This window comes from Homo sapiens, chromosome 17 (assembly GCF_000001405.40).
Source record: "Homo sapiens chromosome 17, GRCh38.p14 Primary Assembly".
Lineage (NCBI taxonomy): Eukaryota > Metazoa > Chordata > Mammalia > Primates > Hominidae > Homo > Homo sapiens.
In genome coordinates, this window is record NC_000017.11 from 32,885,712 (window position 1) to 32,907,453 (window position 21,742).

The 21,742-nt window shown below is 40.9% G+C and overlaps 1 protein-coding gene and 1 long non-coding RNA gene across 3 annotated transcripts in view, besides 6 other annotated features; both read left to right on the forward strand.

Moving 5' to 3' along the window:
* Window positions 1-20,875, forward strand: part of MYO1D-DT (MYO1D divergent transcript) — a 29,732-nt gene extending 8,857 nt beyond the window's left edge. For both annotated transcript variants that reach the window (NR_184086.1, NR_184087.1), the window contains exon 4: window positions 20,480-20,875. This is a non-coding gene — a long non-coding RNA (MYO1D divergent transcript). The remainder of the gene's footprint in view (window positions 1-20,479) is intronic.
* Window positions 933-1,529: an enhancer, noted in NCBI's record as "H3K27ac-H3K4me1 hESC enhancer chr17:31213662-31214258 (GRCh37/hg19 assembly coordinates)". NCBI's record gives its function as "activates a minimal SCP1, AML or CMV promoter by ChIP-STARR-seq in primed H9 embryonic stem cells {active_cell/tissue: H9 hESC(primed)}" and the evidence as "EXISTENCE:reporter gene assay evidence [ECO:0000049][PMID:30033119]".
* Window positions 8,127-9,201: a transcriptional cis regulatory region, noted in NCBI's record as "MYO1D Non-hub Enh1 region targeted for CRISPR/Cas9-mediated knockout". NCBI's record gives its function as "positively regulates MYO1D, SPACA3 and TMEM98 gene expression in K562 erythroleukemia cells {active_cell/tissue: K562}" and the evidence as "EXISTENCE:knockout evidence [ECO:0001091][PMID:29507293]".
* Window positions 8,693-8,754: a transcriptional cis regulatory region, noted in NCBI's record as "MYO1D Non-hub Enh1 region targeted for CRISPR interference". NCBI's record gives its function as "positively regulates MYO1D gene expression in K562 erythroleukemia cells {active_cell/tissue: K562}" and the evidence as "EXISTENCE:mutant phenotype evidence [ECO:0000015][PMID:29507293]".
* On the forward strand, window positions 9,722-20,875 carry H2BN1 (H2B.N variant histone 1). The gene is made up of 2 exons (NM_001401340.1): window positions 9,722-9,895; window positions 20,480-20,875. Exons 1-2 carry the CDS (start codon window positions 9,722-9,724, stop codon window positions 20,660-20,662), a joined length of 357 nt encoding a protein of 118 aa, NP_001388269.1. The 3' UTR covers window positions 20,663-20,875.
* Window positions 11,490-12,197: a transcriptional cis regulatory region, noted in NCBI's record as "candidate enhancer chr17.1747 targeted for multiplex CRISPR interference". NCBI's record gives its function as "positively regulates TMEM98 gene expression with high confidence in K562 cells {active_cell/tissue: K562}" and the evidence as "EXISTENCE:mutant phenotype evidence [ECO:0000015][PMID:30612741]".
* Window positions 11,841-11,887: a transcriptional cis regulatory region, noted in NCBI's record as "MYO1D Non-hub Enh2 region targeted for CRISPR interference". NCBI's record gives its function as "positively regulates MYO1D gene expression in K562 erythroleukemia cells {active_cell/tissue: K562}" and the evidence as "EXISTENCE:mutant phenotype evidence [ECO:0000015][PMID:29507293]".
* Window positions 13,540-13,834: a silencer, noted in NCBI's record as "tiled region #12135; K562 Repressive DNase matched - State 5:Enh". NCBI's record gives its function as "represses a minimal TATA promoter and a strong SV40 promoter by Sharpr-MPRA in K562 cells {active_cell/tissue: K562}" and the evidence as "EXISTENCE:reporter gene assay evidence [ECO:0000049][PMID:27701403]".
* Window positions 20,876-21,742: the final 867 nt, after the last annotated feature.

Consider the following 21,742-nt stretch of genomic DNA (forward strand, 5'->3'; position numbering starts at 1 on the left):
GGGCCAGGTAGAAAGGAGCCTCCTACTTTTCTCAAGTTGACCTGTCTTTAGAGTTTCTGTCCATAAAATTCCAACTCTTATTTCACCGATCTTTTTGAGGTCCAGCGTCTCAATGTCTCAGTGTGACTTTGCTTATCTCCTCACAGTGTCACTTTCTCTTAGTGTTCTCATCCTTTCCAAGTCTCTAATTAGCTCTCCTGAACTGAATAGGATTCTGTTCAGAGTAGCATCCTCCCCATACTCAGGAGGCAGTGGTGGCACAGTGGTACCCAAACTTTGGGTACCTGCACCAGAGGCTTAGAGATCTGAATTTTAATAAGCAGCCCAGGAGATTCTGCTGCAGGTGGACAGGGGGCCAACCAAACTTGGAGAAATATTGAGGGGAATTTTGGTGTCATACACTGGAGTTCAAGTCCTAGGTCTGTATGACCTTGAACAAATTAGCTCATCTGCGTAAGCCTCAGTTTCCTCACCTTTAATAAAGATGAGAAAAACCCACCTCGAAGTGTGAAGTGAGGTGACATCTATAAAGTGCTTCATGTAATTTAAGGCGGGCAGTAAGCACTCAGTAAATACAAGCTAGCATTGCTATTAGTGCAATTGCTTCTGTTATCTTCAGAATAGGGAATTATTAGAAGCAGATAAGTTGTAGCATGTCCTTTTTAGCAGACTGAGATTTCTAATTGATGCCTGTGAGCTTCTGGTCACGCTGTGATTTTCCTCTATGTGAGTTTTATGATTCCTGTTGATTTATTACCATTTACATGTATAGCCCTGGGCCTTGCACTTAGTAAGGGATCAAAACTTCCTCTGCGTGTGTGTGCGTGTGTTTGCGTGTGTTTAAAATAAGAGACAGAGTCTAGCTCTGTCAGACTGGAGTGCAGTGGTGCGATCACAGCTCACTGAAGCCTCAGACTCCTGGGCTCAAACAACTCTGCTACCTTAGCCTCCTGAGTAGCTAGGACTATATAGGACTACAGGCACATGCCACCATGCTTGGCTTATTTATTTATTTTTTTAAATTTTTTGTAGAGACAGGGTCTCCTATGTTGCTCAGGCTGGTCTCATAGAGACAGGGTCTCCTATGTTGCTCAGGCTGGTCTCAAACTGTTGGGCTCAACCAATCCTCCTGCCTTGGCCTCCCAAAATGCTGGGATTAGAGGCATAAGCCACTGCACCTGGCCCTTCCTGAATATATTTGAATGAGTGAATTCCCTCTGTGCTACACCCTCACTGCAGCATCACATTTCTTCTTCCCATTCCCCGAATGCTCTCCAGCCTCCTCCTGACATAAAGCCCTGGTTTACGTCCCTCCTGGCACAACTCTTCCCATTTCCCCATTCCGTGTGAAGAGTGCCATCCCATGGAGCCTTGATTGTTACCTGCCAATTTGTATATGTTATTTGCATTAAAACTTCTGATTCACGGAGGAGCCAAGATGGCCGAATAGGAACAGCTCCGGTCTACAGCTCCCAGCATGAGCAACGCAGAAGACGGGTGATTTCTGCATTTCCATCTGAGGTACCGGGTTCATCTCACTAGGGAGTGCCAGACAGTGGGCGCAGGCCAGTGGGTGCACGCACCGTGTGCGAGCCGAAGCAGGGCGAGGCATTGCCTCACCTGGGAAGCGCAAGGGGTCAGGGAGTTCCCTTTCCGAGTCAAAGAAAGGGGTGACGGACGCACCTGGAAAATCGGGTCACTCCCACCCGAATACTGCGCTTTTCTGACTGACTTAAAAAACGGCGCACCACGAGATTATATCCCACACCTGGCTCGGAGGGTCCTATGCCCACGGAATCTCGCTGATTGCTAGCACAGCAGTCTGAGATCAAACTGCAAGGCGGCAGCGAGGCTGGGGGAGGGGCGCCCACCATTGCCCAGGCTTGATCAGGTAAACAAAGCAGCCGGAAGCTCCAACTGGGTGGAGCCCACCACAGCTCAAGGAGGCCTGCCTGCCTCTGTAGGCTCCACCTCTGGGGGCAGGGCACAGACAAACAAAAAGACAGCAGTAACCTCTGCAGACTTAAATGTCCCTGTCTGACAGCTTTGAAGAGAGCAGTGGCTCTCCCAGCACGCAGCTGGAGATCTGAGAACCGGCAGACTGCCTCCTCAAGTGGGTTCCTGACCCCTGACCCCCGAGCAGCCTAACTGGGAGGCACCCCCCAGCAGGAGCACCCTGACACCTCACACGGCAGGGTATTCCAACAGACCTGCAGCTGAGGGTCCTGTCTGTTAGAAGGAAAACTAACAAACAGAAAGGACATCCACACCGAAAACCCATCTGTACATCACCATCATCAAAGACCAAAAGTAGATAAAACCACAAAGATGGGAAAAAAACAGAACAGAAAAACTGGAAACTCTAAAACGCAGAGCGTCTCTCCTCCTCCAAAGGAACGCAGTTCCTCACCAGCAACGGAACAAAGCTGGATGGAGAATGACTTTGACGAGCTGAGAGAAGAAGGCTTCAGACGATCAAATTACTCTGAGCTACGGGAGGACATTCAAACCAAAGGCAAAGAAGTTGAAAACTTTGAAAAAAATTTAGAAGAATGTATAACTAGAATAACCAATACAGAGAAGTGCTTAAAGGAGCTGATGGAGCTGAAAACCAAGGCTCGAGACTTACGTGAAGAATGCAGAAGCCTCAGGAGCCGATGCGATCAACTGGAAGAAAGGGTATCAGTGATGGAAGATGAAATGAATGAAATGAAGCGAGAAGGGAAGTTTAGAGAAAAACGAATAAAAAGAAATGAGCAAAGCCTCCAAGAAATATGGGACTATGTGAAAAGACCAAATCTACGTCTGATTGGTGTACCTGAAAGTGATGGGGAGAATGGAACCAAGTTGGAAAACACTCTGCAGGATATTATCCAGGAGAACTTCCCCAATCTAGCAAGGCAGGCCAACGTTCAGATTCAGGAAATACAGAGAACGCCACAAAGATACTCCTCGAGAAGAGCAACTCCAAGACACATAATTGTCAGATTCACCAAAGTTGAAATGAAGGAAAAAATGTTAAAGGCAGCCAGAGAGAAAGGTCGGGTTACCCTCAAAGGGAAGCCCATCAGACTAACAGCGGATCTCTCATCAGAAACCCTACAAGCCAGAAGAGAGTGGGGGCCAATATTCAACATTCTTAAAGAAAAGAATTTTCAACCCAGAATTTCATATCCAGCCAAACTAAGCTTCATAAGTGAAGGAGAAATAAAATCCTTTACAGACAAGCAAATGCTGAGAGATTTTGTCACCACCAGGCCTGCCCTAAAAGAGCTCCTGAAGGAAGCACTAAACATGGAAAGGAACAACCGGTACCAGCCGCTGCAAAATCATGCCAAAATGTAAAGACCATCGAGACTAGGAAGAAACTGCATCAACTAACGAGCAAAATCACCAGCTAACATCATAATGACAGGATCAAATGCACACATAACAATATTAACTTTAAATGTAAATGGACTAAATGCTCCAATGAAAAGACACAGACTGGCAAATTGGATAAAGAGTCAAGACCCATCAGTGTGCTGTATTCAGGAAACCCATCTCATGTGCAGAGACACACATAGGCTCAAAATAAAAGGATGGAGGAAGATCTACCAAGCAAATGGAAAACAAAAAAAGGCAGGGGTTGCAATCCTAGTCTCTGATAAAACAGACTTTAAACCAACAAAGATCAAAAGAGACAAAGAAGGCCATTACATAATGGTAAAGGGATCAATTCAACAAGAAGAGCTAACTATCCTAAATATATATGCACCCAATACAGGAGCACCCAGATTCATAAAGCAAGTCCTGAGTGACCTACAAAGAGACTTAGACTCCCACGCATTAATAATGGGAGACTTTAACACCCCACTGTCAACATTAGACAGATCAACGAGATAGAAAGTCAACAAGGATACCCAGGAATTGAACTCAGCTCTGCACCAAGCGGACCTAATAGACATCTACAGAACTCTCCAACCCAAATCAACAGAATATACATTTTTTTCAGCACCACACCACACCTATTCCAAAATTGACCACATAGTTGGAAGTAAAGCTCTCCTCAGCAAATGTAAAAGAACAGAAATTATAACAAACTATCTCTCAGACCACAGTGCAATCAAACTAGAACTCAGGATTAAGAATCTCACTCAAAGCCGCTCAACTACATGGAAACTGAACAACCTGCTCCTGAATGACTACTGAGTACATAACGAAATGAAGGCAGAAATAAAGATGTTCTTTGAAACCAACGAGAACAAAGACACAACATACCAGAATCTCTGGGACGCATTCAAAGCAGTGTGTAGAGGGAAATTTATAGCACTAAATGCCCACAAGAGAAAGCAGGAAAGATCCAAAATTGACACCCTAACATCACAATTAAAAGAACTAGAAAAGCAAGAGCAAACACATTCAAAAGCTAGCAGAAGGCAAGAAATAACTAAAATCAGAGCAGAACTGAAGGAAATAGAGACACAAAAAACCCTTCAAAAAATCAATGAATCCAGGAGCTGGTTTTTTGAAAGGATCAACAAAATTGATAGACCACTAGCAAGACTAATAAAGAAAAAAAGAGAGAAGAATCAAATAGACACAATAAAAAATGATAAAGGGGATATCACCACCGATCCCACAGAAATACAAACTACCATCAGAGAATACTACAAACACCTCTACGCAAATAAACTAGAAAATCTAGAAGAAATGGATAAATTCCTCAACACATACACTCTCCCAAGACTAAACCAGGAAGAAGTTGAATCTCTGAATAGACCAGTAACAGGAGCTGAAATTGTGGCAATAATCGATAGTTTACCAACCAAAAAGAGTCCAGGACCAGATGGATTCACAGCTGAATTCTACCAGAGGTACAAGGAGGAACTGGTACCATTCCTTCTGAAACTATTCCAATCAATAGAAAAAGAGGGAATCCTCCCTAACTCATTTTATGAGGCCAGCATCATTCTGATACCAAAGCTGGGCAGAGACACAACCAAAAAAGAGAATTTTAGACCAATATCCTTGATGAACATTGATGCAAAAATCCTCAATAAAATACTGGCAAACCGAATCCAGCAGCACATCAAAAAGCTTATCCACCATGATCAAGTGGGCTTCATCCCTGTGATGCAAGGCTGGTTCAATATACGCAAATCAATAAATGTAATCCAGCATATAAACAGAGCCAAAGACAAAAACCACATGATTATCTCAATAGATGCAGAAAAAGCCTTTGACAAAATTCAACAACCCTTCATGCTAAAAACTCTCAAGAAATTAGGTATTGATGGGACGTATTTCAAAATAATAAGAGCTATCTATGACAAACCCACAGCCAATATCATACTGAATGGGCAAAAACTGGAAGCATTCCCTTTGAAAACTGGCACAAGACAGGGATGCCCTCTCTCACCACTCCTATTCAACATAGTGCTGGAAGTTCTGGCCAGGGCAATTAGGCAAGAGAAGGAAATAAAGGGTATCCAATTAGGAAAAGAGGAAGTCAAATTGTCCCTGTTTGCAGATGACATGATTCTATATCTAGAAAACCCCATTGTCTCAGCCCAAAATCTCCTTAAGCTGATAAGCAACTTCAGCAAAGTCTCAGGATACAAAATCAATGTACAAAAATCACAAGCATTCTTATACACCAACAACAGACAAACAGAGAGCCAAATCATGAGTGAACTCCCATTCACAATTGCTTCAAAGAGAATAAAATACCTAGGAATCCAACTTACAAGGGATGTGAAGGACCTCTTCAAGGAGAACTACAAACCACTGCTCAAGGAAATAAAAGAGGATACAAACAAATGGAAGAACATTCCATGCTCATGGGTAGGAAGAATCAATATCATGAAAATGGCCATACTGCCCAAGGTAATTTACAGATTCAATGCCATCCCCATCAAGCTACCAATGACTTTCTTCACAGAATTGGAAAAAACTACTTTCAAGTTCATATGGAACCAAAAAAGAGCCCGCATCACCAAGTCAATCCTAAGCCAAAAGAACAAAGCTGGAGGCATCACACTACCTGACTTCAAACTATACTACAAGGCTACAGTAACCAAAACAGCATGGTACTGGTACCAAAACAGAGATATAGATCAATGGAACAGAACAGAGCCCTCAGAAATAATGCCGCATACCTACAACTATCTGATCTTTGACAAACCTGAGAAAAACAAGCAATGGGGAAAGGATTCCCTATTTAATAAATGGTGCTGGGAAAACTGGCTAGCCATATGTAGGAAGCTGAAACTGGATCCCTTCCTTACACCTTATACAAAAATCAATTCAAGATGGATTAAAGATTTAAACGTTAGACCTAAAACCATAAAAACCCTAGAAGAAAACCTAGGCATGACCATTCAGGACATAGGCATGGGCAAGGACTTCATGTCCAAAACACCAAAAGCAATGGCAACAAAAGCCAAAATTGACAAATGGGATCTAATTAAACTAAAGAGCTTCTGCACAGCAAAAGAAACTACCATCAGAGTGAACAGGCAACCTACAAAATGGGAGAAAATTTTCGCAACCTACTCATCTGACAAAGGGCTAATATCCAGAATCTACAATGAACTCAAACAAATTTACAAGAAAAAAACAAACAACCCCATCAAAAAGTGGGCGAAGGACATGAACAGACACTTCTCAAAAGAAGACATTTATGCAGCCAAAAAACACATGAAAAAATGCTCATCATCACTGGCCATCAGAGAAATGCAAATCAAAACCACAATGAGATACCATCTCACACCAGTTAGAATGGCAATCATTAAAAAGTCAGGAAACAACACGTGCTGGAGAGGATGTGGAGAAATAGGAACACTTTTACACTGTTGGTGGGACTGTAAACTAGTTCATCCATTGTGGAAGTCAGTGTGGCGATTCCTCAGGGATCTAGAACTAGAAATACCATTTGACCCAGCCATCCCATTACTGGGTATATACCCAAATGACTATAAATCATGCTGCTATAAAGACACATGCACACGTATGTTTATTGCGGCATTATTCACAATAGCAAAGACTTGGAACCAACCCAAATGTCCAACAATGATAGACTGGATTAAGAAAATGTGGCACATATACACCATGGAATACTATGCAGCCATAAAAAATGATGAGTTCATGTCCTTTGTAGGGACATGGATGAAATTGGAAATCATCATTCTCAGTAAACTATCGCAAGAACAAAAAACCAAACACCGCATATTCTCACTCATAGGTGGGAACTGAACAATGAGATCACATGGACATAGGAAGGGGAATATCACACTCTGGGGACTATTGTGGGGTGGGGGGAGGGGGGAGGGATAGCATTGGGAGATATACCTAATGCTAGATGACAAGTTAGTGGGTGCAGCGCACCAGCATGGCACATGTATACATATGTAACTAACCTGCACAATGTGCACATGTACCCTAAAACTTAAAGTATAAAAAAAGAAAAAAACAAAAAAACAAAAAAAAAAACTTCTGATTCACTCTGTGTTAAAGTGTGACTTGAATTTGTTTAAAATAATGAGAAAAAACAAAAACAAACAAAAAACAACAAAAACAAAACAAAACAAAAAACCTTCTGATTCACTCTATCATACATGCTCTGTGTATAAATGGCATTTTATTTTATTTTATTTTATTTTATTTTATTTTATTTTATTTATTTTGTTTTGAGACAGAGTCTTACTCTGTTGCCCAGGCTGGAGTGCAGTGGTGTAATCCCGGCTCACTGCAACCTCCACCTCCCAGGTTCAAGCGATTCTCCTGCCTCAGCCTCCCGAGTAGCTGGGATTACAGGTGCCCACCACCACACCCGACTAATTTTTGTATTTTTAGTAGAGACGGGGTTTCACCATGTTGGCCAGGCTGATATTGAACTCCTGACCTCAAGTGATCCGCCCGCCTTGGCCTCCCAAAGTGTTGGGATTACAGGCGTGAGCCACCACACCCAGCCATATATGGCATTTTAAAATAGAGAGTTTAAAGATGAGACTGGTGACTTGAGAGTAAGAGTTGGGGGTGGGGTGGGGGCATGGTTTTGACAACCAGGCAACAAGCAACTACCTTTTCCTTTCATACTTGTTCCTTTCCAGTACACAGAGGTATTCTGTTTAGTTTTTGTTGTCGTTGTTGTTAACTCAGGCACTATTCAGATTTTTTTTTCAGGGTTTTAAATTCAGGACTTTGCAGAGTATCAAAGAAATAATTCAGAAGAATTCAACCTACACTATAAATAAGTTACATTTGAAATTCTCCAGCAATGAATTGATACATGTAGCAATTATGTAGAGCACATGTGTAACTACAAACATTGTGGGGCTCTGGTGTTCAGTTTTGGAAGGAGAGAGAATGCGAGTTAGAAAGCAAAGGCTCCAAGGCTGGCTTTGCCACTCAGACACTGTATATGACCCTGTGCAAGTCACTTAAGCCCTCTGAACCTCAGTGTCCTTCTCTGTTAAGTGGAGTAATGCTAATATCTTACCTCATAGCGTTGCTCTGATAATTAAATGGGATAAAGAATGTTAGTGTGGCATCTGGGACATAGTTAGGGCTCCTAAGTTGACGGCACTGTTATTATCTGCCAGTCCCTTGCACCAAGGCTTTGAAGCAACTTATAACCAGTAGTAGGGGAAAGAGTGTCTGTTCTGATCTGGTTCTTCTCTCCTTTGACACCCTGGTTCTCTGGTGTCCTCTTATCTGTTCGTTCGTGTCAGGCTGGTCAATTCCTTGTAGCTGAACTGATACACTAATTGCAGGAAGTTCATGGGCTATCTACAATTTCTCAAAGTTGAGTCTTGTAGATACAGTCACTTCCTGGCATTTTTGTTCATGCTGTCACCCAAGTTCCTAATTGCTGTTGCATAACCAGGTATGTGCTTGCCTTTCAGAGGATGCGTTTTTCTCCTGATGCAAATACAAATACAAGGCATAAGTGCAATGTCTGTGAATAGATGCCTCCTCCACTCCAACCCAAATCTTGTGTAGTTGTTTCAGGAAGCTTTCATAGATCAATAAATTCCATATCTGGTTGGTCATTAGATTTACCTGGCCTGCTTTAGAAACATCTATCTTCCAGGTTTCACTCCCAGTCTTTTGAATATAAATCTTAGTGGCTAAGAATCATGTAATAAAAACACCTTGAGTTAGGTACAATAAAAGAATAACTTCTGAAATGACTGTTGCCTGGTAAATTAATGGCCATTGCATCAAAGTAGCCTCTCTCGTTTAGAGTCTACACCTAATCTTTTTTTTTTTTTTTTTTTTGAAACAGAGTCTTACTCTGTCACCCAGAATGGAGTGCAGGAGTGCAGTGGCATGATCACGGCTCACTGCAGCCTCCATCTCCTGGGCTCAGGTGATCCTCCCACCTCAGCCTCCCAAGTAGCTGGGACCACAGGCATGTACCACCATGCCCGACAATTTTTTTTTTTTTTTGGTAGAGACAGGGTTTCACCATGTTGCCCAGGCTGGTCTCAAACTCCTGGGGTGAAGTGATCCTCCCACCTCGGCCTCCCAAAGTGCTGGGATTACAAGTGTGAGCCACTGTGCCGGCCTACACCTAATATCTATTAAGGATTCTGAGCACCTTCATCTTCTGCAGGTGTGATCACTAATTTAATTAGGAAAGCATACTTCAGCGCTCCCTATAAAACCTTTTTGGAGCACACACTGACCTACAGCCAGTGCTCTGAGCTAGGGGCCTAAAGATTGAGCTTTCAACATGTATTTCATTTGCTTAAATGACCTAAGATTCCCTAAGAACAAGACTGAGCTTTATTTCCCAGTCAAAAAGAAGCATGAGTGGGCCAACTCAGCCACTGGGAAGAAGAGGAGGTGGAGAAAGAAGAGGAGGAAGGAAGCCTATTTTAGTTACATGGGGAAAATCCTAAAGCAAGTGAGTTGGTGCACTCTTTGTAGAAGCTTAGAATGGCCAAGAGAGGTATCATGTTAGCGGCCCTGGGTATCATCTTGACTTCAACTTACTGTGATACAGGAGTCCTTCACACATAGTGTTCCTGAAAAGTTATGTGCCAACAGCTTTTCTAAATTGGATCTGCTAATGGCTGCTGTCTTCTCTCGCTTCGTTTTCTTTCTGTTGGCAGCAGCTCTGAACACCTGAGCTCTTAATGAATGTCTCTCTCGCTCTCGTATCTGTTGACAGGCAATCTGTAAATCTGTAAACTGATTCTTTTTCCTTTTTTTTGAGATGGGGTCTTGCTCTGTCACCCAGACTATAGTGCATTGTTGCAATCATAGCTCACTGCAGCCTCCATCTCCTGGGCTCAAATGATTCTTCCACCTCAACCTCCCAAGTAGATGAGACTATAAGCCCACGCCACCATGCCTAGCTAATTTGCTTGTCTGTTTTAGTGGGTTTTTATTTTTTTTAGATAGGGTCTCACTACGTTTCCCAGGCTGGTCTTGAACTCCTGGGCTCAAGCAATCCTCCTATGTTGGCCTCCCAAAGTGTTGGAATTATAGACATGAGCCACTGCGCCTGGCCTAAACTGATTCTTAAACGCCCTCTCCTTTTCTTGTAAAGCGGATATTTGCCACCTAGTCTGTTTTGTAACTTTGAAGAGTGGCATAGATCAGTTTTCGTCAAATGATGCTCTGTATTTCTAATATTACTTAGGAGGGGTAGGCACCCTGGTTCCTTCCTCCTGCCCACCCAACTTCACCCCGTGGCATAAGAAATTGGTAGAAAACAATCAGGAAAATCTTCCCCCTCAAAAGCTGGGAAGATTCAAAAGATGTAAGGAGATTTTCTGAAATCTTGACTGAATTTTACGCCTTCATGACAAGGAAGTAAGTTTGAGTGTTCACGTGTGTCATACCACAGCTCCCATATTCCGGTAATATCATCTAGAATCTGTTGCTTATCTTGGGAAACAAAGGGGAAAATGAGATTAAGGAAAGATGGGAGAGGAGAGAAGGTGCATGATGTGTAGTGAGGATATATAGAACAGAGCTTCTCAACCATAGCCCTGTTGACATGTTGGGGCTGGTTAACTCTTTGTTGTGGGGTTCTGTGCATTGTAGGATGTTAAGCAGCCTCTACGGCCTCTATCTGCTACATGCCAGTTGCTCCCTCCCTCCCAGTTGTGACAACCAAAAATGTTCAGGCATTGCTGAATGTCCTCTGGAGGGCAAGATTACCCCCAGTGGAGAACCCCTGCTCTAGAGCCTGTAGGGCTGGTAGGACCCTCTATGGGAGTACTTGCATTAAGTAGTCCTTTGTGCATTCCCTGGACATTCTCCTCTAATTAGTCTTTCTTTGGCTTGTTCTTAACTGTGTGGGCCTGGCAGGCCACCTTGTACCTCCCAAGGCTTGGGTCTGTGGCTGGAGTCACTGTCTCAGGGCACTGTAAGGATAAAACAAGATATTGGTTGGATAAATGTATTGAGTGTCTAAGTGGTCTAAGTGCAAGCCTTGTTTGCTGTGGGAACTCAGATGAAAATGATGCAGACTTTATTGTAAAGGGACTCACAATCCTGCGGTGGGAGAGTGTTGAGGAGGAAGTATTTCTCAATTATTAGAACCAGGAAAACTTTTTGAATCTCACCTCAAGCCTCCCTCTCTCCTCCCTCTCCCTCTCATCCCCCATCTCCCCCTTCTTCCCTCCCTCCCCTCTCTCTCTGTCTTACACACACACACACACACACACACACACACACACACAGCAACAAGAAGCTGAGAGCAGTGTGAAAATATGACTTGCTCCATATGTCTCATGTCCAAGTGGAGCTAGGATTAGAGCGTTGGGTAAATGATTCTCAGAACAGCTTATTTTTACTACTCTGGTTGTCTCTCTAACATTAAACAAGGACACTAATGACATGTAGCAACATGTGATACAGGGCCTGACGGCAGAGAGTGCCAATGTTCTCAGTGGGAGGAGGAACTTAGTAAGTGTGTGTGGAACACAGATAAGGGAGCTGGCACTTGGGGAGGAGCCTTACAGGATGGATAGGATCTGAAGAGTGCTGTTGAGTGTCAGCATGGTAGGTAGAAGTGACAGATGAACAGTGGGGTGGAGGCTGGAAAACACAGGGACACATCCGAGGAAGACCAAGTTTTCCAGCCTGGCTGAAGACCACAAAGAAGTAACAGGAAGAAAGAGAGGCTGAAGATTGAGAAATGTCAAAGTAAAATGCTTACTTAATGTGAAATATAAAGTGGGAAAGCACATTCTAAACTAAGTGTTTTCCATCTTCAGATGGTGTTGGACGTTAACTCCACTTCTGTTAGGAAAAACCAAGTCACAAAGGTTGAAGTGACTGGAATTAGTCTGTGTTATCCAAACAACGGTTATCTTTCTCACCAGCTCCAAATTCCCGTCCCTCTCTTCTTTCTCATCCCAAGAAACTGCTGATAGGTACTGTGGACCCCAAAAATCTGAGATAGGTCTCAGTTAGCTTAGAAAGTTTATTTTGTCAAGGTTGAGGATGTGTGTCCGTGACACAGTCTCAGGAGGTTCTGATGACATGGGTCCAAGGTGTTAGGGGCACAGTGTGGTTTTATATATTTTAGGGAGACATGAGACATCAATCAATATGTTTAAGATATATACTGGTTCAGTCTGGAAAGGTGAGACAACTTGAGTCGAAGGCAGGACAACTCAAAGTGGGGAGGGGCTTCCAGGTCATAGGTAGATAGGAGACAAATGGTTGTATTCTATTGAGTTTCTGATTAGCCTCTCCAAATGAGGCAATCAGATATGTATATATCTCAGTGAGTAGAGCAGTGACTTTGAATAGAATCAGGTTTGTCCTAAGCAGTTCTCAGTTTGGCTTTTCCCTTTAGTGATTTTGGGGGTCCCAAGGTTTATTTTCATTTCACATCCCCCCTTTTCTTTTTTAAAATCTTTTGGAGAAAACATTTTAGGAGAAAATTAATCTGCTCTCAGGTTTTGTCTGATGTTTCATGGCTAGGATGGTTTATTTTTAGATGGGTAGGTCTTGAGTTACTAGGAAAGTTCATTTTTAGTAAGTTGTGAAGTCTCATGTCCTATGAAGATAAAGTAGGGGGAGGAAGGGAGAAAAACAAAAACAAAAGAACAATATTGGAAAATTGGTATAGGCCATATTACTCTGAAGTCCATACTTTAGTAGGCAGGTATGAAAGTGGCTTATGTATGTAAATAGGTTGCTATTATTTTCTTCTGAAGTTTAAGTTGTCTAGTTTCAGTTCGTAGGGTTTTATGAAAGCACAGCTTAGTTTTCAGTGACTCTAAACTGGGAAAGATGTGGGGGAAGAAAAAATTGAAAACATTATTTTGAAGACTTGTAGCCAAGAAAAATTAGAATTTGGTCTGAACTGTAGAAAATAATAAAAATCGAACAACATTAGGCAAGACTAGAATCTAATAACAGGTGTACCATAGTTTTTGAAATATAATTTTTCTCTGTCTAGTTTACCATTTTTATTAAAGACAAATCATGGTAGGACTGATTTGTTTTATTATACTTGGCCTGATTATTTGCATATAGTATAGCAAGAAAAATTTTTTAACATAGGCTTTTAAATTGGCTTTGATGGAACTTTGTTCCATAGAAAGAAACTTAGATAAGAGTTTTTAAAAGCCAAGCCCAGTCATGGATTTGTACCATCAAATACCTATGAGTTGAGTGAATTCTTCTCCTCTTGAGGTTCCAAGATAAACTTGGGGCTCCTGGGCCTGTCAGAAAGTGACATTCTTTACTTATCATAAGTCAGCCTGGCTGAAGACCTGTACAGGGACTGTGTCAACAAGGTATGAGGCCAGTTTTCCTAAGGGGCTTTTATTGGCTCCATAAGTCAAGTGTGATTCTTTAAAGGAAAGCACACCATTCCAGTCAAAAGTCTTGGTAAAATAACCAGTTTCTCTAGTCGTGTCCTGTTATAAATGAAAATAGATTCTTACTGTACTTTTGTAAATAACTGTATTTTCAAAAGTTAAGAATACTCATAAATAGTTTGTAAATTCTGGAGAAGTCAGATAGAGAGAAACAAATATGTTTTAAAGTTTGTTCATAGGCATATACTAAATTGTTAAAAGTTGTCAATAGCTCAAAGGAAAAGTTTCCTTGACTATGAAAAAAACAAAACAAAGGATCAGCAATAAAGTTTTAAGTCAGAAGTCAAAAAGATTATTTCAGTCTTCTATTAGGTCACTATTTATAAACATTTCCGTTTTCCATGAATCTTAAACATTTTTCTTCTATTCTGATGTCACAGTCTCCAAAGTTATCAGAAATTTGTATTCAAGAGGATCTGTTAGAGCTTTATGGTTGTTTATAAAGCCACCTTCTAAAGAGGACCAAAGCAAACAACAATTGTCTGTGGATGACAAAGTTTTAGGTCAGTCATAGCTGACATACAATTGACAAGGAAATTTGTTACTTCTGTGGCACACAATAATTTAACATAACAATTATAATTACTGATAATGTATACTAAGTCATATCAGAATTATAGGAATTTCCCATAATTTTGGAACACATACCAATAACATATTTATATAAATACAGCCCAGATAAAGTCAAATATCATTTTAGATTTGACTTGTTTCCTGTATAATTTGTATATAAAATAATTCAAACTAGGACTTTTGGGAAACCCAATATCTTAAAGGATTAAATTTTGACTTTAGGGAACCTAATATCTTAAAGGATTAATTAGGTCAGAAAAAGACAAAATTTATAATTTGATTTTGGAAATTTTGTAAAATATCAAAGGTTAAAAACACAGGTCATTGTAAAACAAGTCATTCATTTGACCAAAGTGATAACTCAAGGATTTCAAAAAAAGGCAAAAACTTTCATTCTTTGAGAGAGGACACTTAATTTTCCAAACAATAAGTCCTAATAAACAGTATGAAGGCAACTACAATTTTTTTTTTTTTGAAACGGAGTCTTGCTCTGTCGCCCAGGATGGAGTGCAGTGGTGTGATCTTGGCTCACTGCAAGCTGCGTCTCTGGGGTTCACGCCATTCTCCTGCCTCAGCCTCCTAAGTAGCTGGGACTACAGGCGCCTGCCACCACACCTGGCTAATTTTTTGTATTTTTAGTAGAGACAGAGTTTTACCACGTTAGCCAGGATGGTCTCGATCTCCTGACATCATGATCCACCCACTTTGGCCTCCCAAAGTGCTGGGATTACAGGTGTGAGCCACTGCACCCAGCCCTTGTTTTTAAAAATTTTATAAGCAATCTATAAAATTTTAATCTCGGCCAGGTGTGGTGACTCAAGCCTGTAATCCCAGCACTTTGGGAGACTGAGGCGGGTGGATCACCTGAGGTCAGGAGTTTGAGACCAGCCTGGCCAACATGGTGAAACCCTGTCTCTACTAAAAATACAAAAATTAGCTGGGCATGGTGGCATGTGCCTATAATCTCAGTTACTTGGGAGGCTGAGGCAGGAGAATTGCTTGAACCAGGAGGCAGAGGTTGCACTGAGCCATTATCACGCCACTGCACTCCAGCCTGGGTGATAGAGTGAGACTCTGTGTCAAAAAAAATTTTTTTTTTTAAATCTTGACCATAAGATATAATTTCCATAAACCTTTTATAACTTTTATTAAGGAGTCAGTTAATGTTTCAAAAAAACCTTGTTAATCTGACATAGGGGCTTATGCATTGGTCTTGTATCAGTGTGTCTTTGATATTAATTATTAATTTATAGGGAAACTGAACTTATTTTATCTCTCAAAATCAGCCCTTAAAAATCTCACATATTCACCTCTTCTGTGATAGTCCCTGGGCCTTGAGGAGTTGAATAATTTTAATTTCTGGCCCTGTGACTTCAGGAATGTAGTTTATTTTAATTGACATCTTCTATTGGGCCTGAAGATGAGGCTTTAATTGTTGTCAGTGTTTAAGATTTAGCAGGACTTGGTGTCCTTTTTAGTCCCAGGAGTCAAAGTCCTATAACTCAATGTCACAAGTACTTTAAAAGTACTTGTATTTAAAAGTATGAGCTGAAAATGAGTTGAAGGAGAGCATTACTATTTTGTGCCCTTTAAAAGGAGAAAGAAAACTGAAAATGGCGAGATGCAATGAAAGTTGAACTTTGGGCTAAAAAAAGTTAAAATCTCTTGTAATTTATTAAGAGTAAGTCAATCCCTTAAGAAAATTTCATTGTTCTAACCAATTATTTAGTGTAGAAGTGTTTTTTTTAACATCAAGCCCAATTTCTAGAAAGATCATTATACTTTCTCTTTAATTGACAACTTGATCATATAAAACTTTTTTAAAAAATGAATTTTCTTATTGTGACTTACACAGACTGTTCATAACATGTTTGGACTTTCTGGCTTGTCCTGAACATCCCTCTTTCTTAAACCATCAGTTATTTTACTTTAGGACTAAATCTACCGTACAAGACTCTTTCTCATTTCTCTTTACGCTTTCTTACCGAAAAAAAAAAAAACCTCTTTACTTTTATAACTTTCTTCACATCTTTCTTACTTCTGGGTTCCTTTTATCTTGTTTTATACATAACCTTTAAATACATTTTAAATTAGACAGAAGTCATTTACCTAGATTATTTCTGAAAACTGTGATAATCATCATTTAAAGTTATGGAACCATCATTGTAAAATTATAACTGAGACAGTGATCTCAGTTTTAACCTCCAAGTTGTCCTTGTTTATTTTGGGGTGTGGGCTGAACTAACTTTGGGAGGAATTTATAGTTTAGCTTTGAAACAAAGATGATAACAAACCCTTCCCCAAACAAACCTTACTGCCTGTAGACTAGACCGTCTAAAGTCACAAAATTAGGAGTTATGGTAATCTTACTAAATTCAAGATATAGTTTTTTATTAAATGAATATCAATATCTTATTAAAGATTACACAAGTTGGCTGGGTGCAGTGGCTCACGCCTGTAATCCTAGCACTTTGGGAAGCCGAGGCAGGCGGATCACAAGGTCAGGAGATCGAGACCATCCTTCATAACATGGTGAAACCCCATCTTTACTAAAAATTCAAAAAATTAGCCAGGCGTGGTGGTGGGCACCTGTAGTCCCAGCTACTCAGGAGGCTGAGGCAGGAGAATGGTGTGAACCTGGGAGGCGGAGCTTGCAGTGAGCCGGGATTGCGCCACTGCACTCCAGCCTGGGCGACAGAGCGAGACTCCATCTCAAAAAAAAAAAAAGAAATTACACAAGCAAAGATCATTCTGTTTTTGGGCTGTGTTTATAGTTTTGTAACCCCTATACCAAATTTTGACACCTTTATAGTATTTGGCAGGGATAGAATGAAATTGTTTAATTAATAAATGCAAACAACAATGTATGTTGGCAATTATTAAGACATTTCTAATATTACTTTACCAATAATGTTAAGGTTAATTTATTAAAGATTTTACTTGTTACATAAACTTGAAAGAGCATTTGACTAGTCTTTTCTTTTTTCCTGATAAAGTATTTGATTCAAGTGTTTTATTTTCTTAAGCCAATTAGAGTTCTTTTATATATTTTCAGTAGTGAAATATTATATATATATTATATATACAACACATAAATACATAGATGTATTAGGCATGCCAGTGGAAGTACTTCCTATCAGTTCATAAAAAACTTTTTTTTTCCTATCTTAGACTTTCAAATTCTTAACAACCTGTTTTATTATCTTAGGCACTTGTCAGTTAAATAGTCTTAAACTTGTATATTAAAGGAAACAACTCGGGTAAAAATCTAATGGCAAAATTTACATCGTAAGTTATGGAGAGAAAAAGTCTGTGTTAGAGGGAAATTAATATGAATTTAATTGTCATTTGAACATAAAATTATAGAAATTATAAAGTCCTTTTAAATACACACACACCTTATAGTTTTTACTTCAGAACTTTAGCCATGAGATAAATACAAATTCACCAGCTTGCAAAATGAATATGTTGGATCTAAACAGTGGTTTTTATCTGAAGAGAAAAATAACAGCAGATTTAAAGCAGGCAGAAGAGAAAAATAGCGAAAAAGAATTTAGGAACAACGTAGTTTGCAGGTCAAACTTAGGGCTCTTTTTCTCTAATGTAAGTGTGTACAAGGACCATATTCCATTTTACATAAACTCTGGCAAGTAGAGGTGTCATAAAACCTACAGAGTGTTCAAAAGGAGGTCATTCTCCTTGTTTTCTCCTCATTAGATTATGTCTCACTTTTTTTCTGAAGAGGGGGAACTGAGCTGTGGCCTCAGGTTTTTTGTGTGGTGGTTTGATGTGTGCTGCTTGTGGCCAGACTCCACAATGTGTCACCACTAAGTTGTTTCACCCTCTTACGTGTCTCAGTTTCTCTCTCCAGAGGTCTAAGACTTCTGAGAGGGTTCAAAATGCCAGGTGATCAGTTTTTATACGTGTTTCCTGGATGAGTCTTTTTTTTAAATTAATTTTTGTTGGAGATTTCCCTGTGGGGTTGTTGTATGTCATGGGGGTCAACCCCCCAGACACTCCCACAAGGCCCCCGGTCACCCAGGGGCACCTTTCAGCTGGGAGGAGCAAATGCCCTTTCTCTTCAGAGCTGAGAAAACTCAGTCTCTCATTTATCTATGAAAACAACAGTTCAGTTCCTCATGTAAATGTACACAGACAAGCCGAATTGAGATTACTTTTGGGAGACAAAGTAGTAGACAAGACCTCTTAGAATGCATCTCCGAACTAGAATTAGGCTCCTTAAACAACAACTTCCTAGGAGAGAAAAAATAAACAACAGCCAAGGGCATTTCCTGTAGACTGTGTTCAGCCACCCCTACTTTGTAGCTCTCATCCACCATTACACACATCAAGGTCAAATCCTCTCACAGTACAAGATAACCTCTGGTACCCCCAAAGCCAAAGAGGTCAGGTCATGTAATACAGAAAAACAGACCTTTAGACCTAAGAAAAATCTGCCTATGACTCTTGAAACTCAACAAAGAAAACAGAACACCCCAAAAGGGGTGACTAGAACCTTTGTTCTGAATTCTTTTAAAGGGTTCAAGTCATTAGAAGCCTCCTCTAGATTTTTTGGTACTGTAGATGGCAAAGGGGCAAGGAGGTATGGGGTGGAAGAAAAGTAAATGAAAGAACTTTTTTTTTTTTTTAAGACAGGAAGTAAACACAGAAACCAAATGCATTTTTTAACTCTTTTATAGTTGTGAGGAATTTTAGTCAAATTAGAGAGGTTTTGTTACCCATAATTTGGAATTTTCACTTGGATTTGATCAAGTCATGTAAAGCTGGTCAAATCTGATGGAAGAAAGACCGGAACAAACAACAACAACAAAAACCCAACAATATGATCACTGAGTGTTCTAATGGAGAAAAAATTAAGACCAGCTGGTTGTTGAACTTTAGCCAAGACAAAACTCCAATTCAGTTATTTACCTAGGGATGGGTCTGAGGCTGAAGACTGCTTTCTACCATCCTAGAAGCAGGAAAAAAGCCTCAAACTCCTCTTCCCTGCCGAGAGTGAGCTCAAACTCCATAAAGGAGTTACCTGCCTTCCATCGTCCTGTAAACAGGAAATCTTGCCTTCCTTGTTGGGAGCAAGTAAACTCCAAAACAAACAAACAAAACAAAAGAGGGAGGAGTTGTACAGCAAAATAAACTTTAGTTCTTGACTAAATTTGGGGAGATCAGGGATTCTCTGGAGGGGGTGCTTGCAGACTTCAATAAATTGTCCTATTGGTTTGAGCCATAAAGTTAGCTCATGCTGGTACCAAGCACCGACAAGAGATTTGTCAAAGGTCAGGGGCATCTCTACTCAGAATCCCTTTATGGTTACCAAAATGTGAACCCCAAAAATCTGAGACAGGTCTCAGTTAATTTTTGTGTGTGTGGTTGTGTGTGTGTGTGTGTGTGTTTTGTCAGTTAATTTAGAAAGTTTATTTTGTCAAGGTTGAGGATATGTGTCCATGACACAGTCTCAGGAGGCTCTGATGACATATGCCCAAGGTAGTAGGGGCACAGTGTGTTTTTGCATATTTTAGGGAGACATGAGACAGCAATCAGTATGTATAAGATGTACATTGGTTCCATCTGGAAAGGGGACAACTCGAGGTGAAGGCGGGACAACTCAAAGCGCGGAGGGGGCTTCCAGATCATAGGTAGGTAAGAGACGAGTGGTTGTATTCTACTGAGTTTCTGATTAGCTTCTCCAAGTGAGGCAATCAAATATGTATTTATCTCAGTAGAGGGGTGACTTTGAATAGAATGGGAGGCAGGTTTGTCCTAAGCAGTTCTCAGTTTGGCTTTTTCCTTTAGTTTAGTATTTTGGGGTCCCAAGGTTTATTTTCCTTTTACAGTATAACAGCCTGTTTCATCAAATGCCTGTCGTTGCCCCTTTAGGTGGTTTATTATTATTTTTTAATTCATCATTCAACTTGAAGGTCACTTATGTTGTTCCACTTGTACATGAATTCATAGAAACCATGAGTACTGGGTGTTGGGTCAGACCACAACTGTTCACTGTGGGAAGCCTTTACTTCTGTCTCACCTCTGTGCCATTTCTCCCCTAGATCCACCCTGATTTCAGCGGGCGTTCCTGGGTCTTGTATGCACTAGGTGCCCTCAATGCTTGGCAACTGGAATGGGTTAGCCTGGAGGCATTTAGGCTGTCCTTCTACAACCACAGAAGAGCCATCACTGGCAGAGAGATCCTTGGCGCAGTTAAGCAGAGATCTTCTCAGAAGAGCTTTTGAATAAATGAAGTTGTTCAGAATGGCCTTGTTAAAATGACTCACTTGTCAAAAAACTAGATGTGTTGGAAGGCTGGGTTGGAAGACAAGATGTCTGAGAAGCTGTCCTGCTGCATGAGGAGTTTCATTGCTACACACCTAGTCTCTGGGTCCTGTGTTTTTGGCCTCCAGCTTACTTCGTGAACATAATAAAGGAAAGGCATTTTCTCTTGTGCATGCTATGTGTGCATGTGTGTATGTACTTGTTGTCTATGGCTATTAATTTCTTATGTATACTACTCCCGTTTTGCGCTTACCCATTGTATTCTTTGAAGGACACAACTAGATCGATGACACTGTATACCCATCATCTCTCCCCACTCCAGACTGAGGGTGGAGACTGCTACACTAGAATGAACTGAGATCACAAAGGATTGGGGGCAAGTTGGGGGGCACGTATGTGGGGGTATTAATCCAGGGAGAGGGGAGCTTGAAAGTAGACAGTATTGCCCAAACTTGCAGTGTAATGAGGACTGCTGCCAGCTTCTGGCTTTCTCCCTATCCACCTGTGCCTGCCTCTCCAACCTTAGCCCCCAACCTTTGCTTTGGCCGTAATTTTCCCTTTTACCTGGCTTGTGTAGATTGCTATGGCTCTTGACAGTGTTGAGACATTGTTTAGACTCCTATGAGGAAAGACAATTTTTAAAATTTAAGCACCTCTGCCATGATTTACAGGAACTAAAGCAAAAGGTATCTGCTTGCTCTTTGAGTATAAGAATTGTGGCATTGGGGCTGGGCGCGGTGGCTCACGCCTGTAATCCCAGCACTTTGGGAGGCCAAGGCGGGCAGATCATGAGGTCACGAGATCGAGATCAGCCTGCCAACATGGTGAAACCCTGTCTCTACTAAAAATACAAAAATTAGCTTGGTGTGGTGGCATGTGCTTGTAATCCCAGCTACTCAGGAGGCTGAGGTAGGAGAATTGCTTGAACCCGGGAAGCAGAGGTTGCAGTGAGCCGAGATCGCGCCACTGCATTCCAGCCTAGTGATGGAGTGAGATTCTGTCTCCAAAAAAAAAAAAAAAATTGTGGCAGTGGCATTGAT